Source organism: Homo sapiens, chromosome 8 (genome assembly GCF_000001405.40).
Source record: "Homo sapiens chromosome 8, GRCh38.p14 Primary Assembly".
NCBI lineage: Eukaryota > Metazoa > Chordata > Mammalia > Primates > Hominidae > Homo > Homo sapiens.
This window is the reverse complement of record NC_000008.11, coordinates 15990482-15995283: the sequence shown is the minus strand read 5'-3', so window position 1 is coordinate 15995283 and position 4802 is coordinate 15990482. Positions and strand designations below refer to the sequence as shown.

Below are 4802 nucleotides of genomic sequence, written 5' to 3'. Positions count from 1 at the left end.
CTGTGCCTCTGGCCAACCAGCTAAAAATCGGAGGCTCCCACAGTCCTCTTTTGTAATTGATTATTTGCTAGAACAAGTTCACAGGAAACCAGTTACATACTGGATCACTCATTTATTATAAAAGGTTACAACTCAGGAATAGCCAGGTGGAATAGGTGCCTAAGACAAGGCTTGGAGGAGGGACACAGAGCTTTTATGCCCTCACCAGGTATGCCATCCTCTGGGCGCTCTACTGTGTTCTGTAACCCGTAAGTTCTCCAAACCCTGCCCTTCTGAATTTTTATAGAGGTTCCATTACTTTGGCATAATTAACTAAATCGCTGGCTATTAGTGCTTAACTCAGCCTCCAGCCTCTCTCCTTCCTGGAGGTCATGAGGTAGGGCAAAAAAATCTCAACCCTCTAATCACATAGTTGGTTTCCAAGGCAACCAGCTCCTCATCCTTAGAGACTTACCAAAAGCCACCTAATTAACATAAACTCAGGTGTGGTTGAAAGGGATTGCTTATGAATAACAATAGGTGCTCTTTTCACTTTTTGTTTTGTTCTGTTTTGTTTTGTTTTTGAGACGGAGTCTCACTCTGTCGCCCAGGCTGGAGTGCAGTGGCGCGATCTCGGCTCACTGCAAACTCCGCCTCCTGGGTTCATGCCATTCTCCTGCCTCAGCCTCCCGAGTAGCTGGGATTACTGGCACCCACCACCATGCCCAGCTAATTTTTGTATTTTTAGTAGAGATGGGGTTTCACCATGTTAGCCAGGATGGCCTCGATCTCCTCACCTCGTGATCTGCCCGCCTCTTTTCACTTTTATCAATGTTTTAAGAGCTTTGGCCAGGAGCTGGGAATGAAGGCCAAAATGCAGTCATATGCTGCATAATGTTTAGTCAATGACGGATCAGTTATATGTATGCCTGTGGAGCCATAAAATTATAATGGAGCTGAAAAGTTCCTGTTGCTTAGTGATGTCAAAGCTGTCATAACATTATAGCACAATTACTTTACTTTTAATAAATTTATTGTAGTGTAGCATAAGTCTACAGTTGTGCTAGGCCTCCACATTCACTCACTGCTCACTCACTGAATCACCCAGAGCAACTTCCAGTCCTGCAAGCTCCATTCATGACAAGTGCCCTATACAGGTGGACCATTTTTCTATTTTATGGTGTATTTTTAATGTGCCTTTTCTACAGTTAGATATATTTAGATACACAAGTATTTACCATTGAATCCCAGTTGCCTAGAGTATTCAGTATGGTAATATGCTTTACAGGTTTGTAGCCTAGGAGCAGTAGGCCGTACCATATAACCAATGTGTATAGTAGGCTCTACCATCTGGGTTTGTGTAAGTACACTCTGTAATGTTCACACAACTATAAAATACCTAATGACACATTTCTCAGAAAGTATCCTTGTCATTAAGCAATGTAAAACTGTATATATTTCTTATTATATCACAATATCACAATGGATAGTTGTGCTTAATAAAATAGCATGCAGCAATAAAATAAAAGTAAAATTATGAATTTTATGTAGATTCAAGGACTATATTAAGTGAAGGAGTATATAAAAAGCCTGTCTTAATTAGGGCTGCCATGACAAAATGCCATACACAAGGAGGCTTGAACAACAAATATTTGTTTCTCACAGTTCTGGTAGCTGGAAGTCTGAGATGAAGGTGCCAGCATGGTCGGGTTCTTGGTAAAGGCCCTCTTCCTGGTTTTCCGATGGCCATCTTCGCATTGTATCTTCACATAGTGGGGAATGAAGAGAGAGTCAGAAGAAGCAAACTGGCCCATTTCTAGGGCTCCATCCCCATGACCTAACTACTTCCAAAGGACCGCATCTCCTTAGGGATTAGAGTTTCAACATATAAATTTTGGGAGGACACAACCACTTAGTCCATAGCAATACTTACACACTGCTGTAGTAATTCAATAAGAACATATATGCATGGGAAAAATTTGAAAGGATGTTCACCAAAGTAATACCAATGTCTATTTTGGAGAGGCAGGAATGAGAGTAAGTTTTTTTCTTTTCTCTTGTGTCTCATTTATAATGCAATTTAATATTACAATATAGTACTAATCAAAGGATTATTTGTGTTTTTCCATTTTTCAATCCATGATATGCAAATTGTATTCAATTTTCATGATTCTGTGTAGTCATAGCTTTTAAGTGTAATACCCCATTATAAGTGAAGTTTCAGTTACATCAAATATGAATAACATCATTAGTTAGGTAAATTGAATTCATAAAGAAATAGAACTTTGACTTCTGCCTATTGTATTTACCATACTATTTAACTATTTTTTAAAGAATACTGTTATTTGGAAACTAATTGCTCCTGTTAAAACTTTTGAATCAGTACGATAAACAGTTTTCAGTTTATCACATTTTTTTCTGTTTCATTAATATAAAGGCTTGACTAAATATGAACTGCTCCTGCCAGTGCCGTGTACATCATTAGGGGCCTGGAGATTAACCAGCCCTGCCCAACACAGCCTGCACACATGTGCATCATTAGGGATCTGAAAACAGGCCTGCCCCACCCACTGCCACCATCACAGCAACTCAAGTGCACCATCCAGGGGCCTGGGGATTGATCTTCTCTGTTTATTGTGAACGCACCATCAACAGGCTTCGCAAAAGGCCTAGTTCAGCCAACACAGTGCCCAAGTATGTCACCCAGGGACTGACCTGCTCCACCCATCACAGCCTACATCCATGTGCACATGGATATAGGGGTCCAAGGACAGGTCCTTCCCACAATGCACTGTCCCCACCAGTGACCATGCACATCATTCGGAGGCCTGGGAATTAACTAGTCCCTTCTGCCACAGCCTGTACCCATGCACGCAATCAGAGGCCTGAGGATAGGCCGGCCCTGCTTCACACCACTCTGAGCTAGTGCCCATGTGTCATCAAGGACCTGAGGATTGGCATGCCATGCACACCACCCAAAGGACACACCCACTCACCTGGCCCACTGCTGCCACTGACACCTGAGTAAGTCCCTGAAGTCCCCAAAGTTGGCCATCTTGGACCTGCTACCACTGGTGTCCATCTATGTGTGCTGCCAGGAGGCTAGACTACTGGCACCCTCTACCCACCACCACCACGACCACTGGAGTCCAAGGACTAGACCGCCTGACATCCTTGTTCCCAGAAAAGCCTCACTGTAGCCTCCATTAACAACCACTACCCAAGCCACTAAAGAACTCACAGACACCACTGATGCTGATTACAGCAAAAGAAATCAAATGGAGGCTACACTACTGCATGCACTCAGAATCAAAGCCAAAGCACCTCGCCCAACAAACACCATAGATACACCTATAGGAAAAATTCTATCCTTACAAAAGCCAATTCATAAAATTGGAAGAAGCTAGAGTGATACCAGGTGTGCAGATATCAACGTAACAATACAAGGAATGTAAGAAAGCAAGGAAATACGATACCTCCAAAAAAGAACACAGTAATTCTCCAGCAACAGATTACAACAAAAAAGAAATCTGTGAAATATCCGAAAAGGGACACAGATAAACAATACCTAAATCGGGAAAACAATCTGTAATCTGAATAAGAAATTCACAAGAGGTAAATATCATTGAAAATAAACTAGAAATCCTGGAACTGAAGTATTCAATAAAAGACATAAGATATATAATTGAGACTTTCAACAATAGACAAAAACAAGCATAAGAAAAAATTTCTGAACATGAAGATAAGCCTTTTGAAATTATCCAGTCAGACAAAAATGAAAGAGAAAAATATTTTAAAAAGGAAGAAGAAAGCCTACGTCAAATATAGGACATCATAATGTGACCAGTGTTTCAATCTTAAGTTTTCCAGAAGGTGAAGACATGAGCAAAGGCGTAGAACACCTTTTTAATAAAATTATAGCTGAAAACTTCCCTCAAGTCATGCAAGAGATATAGATATCCAGATTCAGGAAACTCAAAAATCCACAAATAGAATTAACCCAACAGGGTAAATAAGAAATGTTTAAGGAAGCCCTACATCTGGAAGCAAAGGTCACTATCTACCATCACTACACAAAAGGAAAAAACTCCCTTGTAGAGCAGACACACAAATAAGAAAGAGAAAGCACTCAAATATTACCACTACAGAAAACCACCAAACCACAATGATAAACAATGAGAGGAAAAAAGGAACAATGGATATACAAAACATACAAAAAAAATTTTTTAAATGGCAAGAGTAAGTCCTCATCTAACAATAATAACATTGAATATAAACAGGTTAATTTACCCACTTATAAGATACAAACTGGATGAATGGATTTTTTAGAAGACCAACAATGGGCTGCCTACAAGAAACTCACTTCATCTGCAAAGACACATATAGACTGAAAGTGAAGGAAAAAGATATTCCACGCAAACAGAAACCGAAAATGAGCAGGAAGAGCTATACTTATATAAGATAAAATAGACCTTAATTCAAAAACAGTAGAAATGGAAAAAGAAAGTCATTATATAATGATAAAGGGAACAATTTCACAAGAGGATACAATAAATATACGTGTTCCCAGAGCACTGGAGCACCCAGATAGATCAATCAAATATTATTAAATCTAAAGGAAGTGATAGACTTGAATACAATAACAGTTGGTGACTTCAACACCCCACTCAGCATTGAACAAATCATCTAGACAGAAAATCAGAAAAGAAACATCGGATTCAAATTGTGCTTTAGACCAGATAGACCTAATAGACATTTACAAAGCATTCCATCTAACTGCTGCAGAACACACAATCTTCTGATCAGCACATGAAACATTCTGC

The 4802-nt window shown here is 39.7% G+C and overlaps 1 annotated feature.

The window, feature by feature from the left end:
- Positions 203-905: an enhancer, noted in NCBI's record as "OCT4-NANOG hESC enhancer chr8:15851888-15852590 (GRCh37/hg19 assembly coordinates)". NCBI's record gives its function as "activates a minimal SCP1, AML or CMV promoter by ChIP-STARR-seq in primed H9 embryonic stem cells {active_cell/tissue: H9 hESC(primed)}" and the evidence as "EXISTENCE:reporter gene assay evidence [ECO:0000049][PMID:30033119]".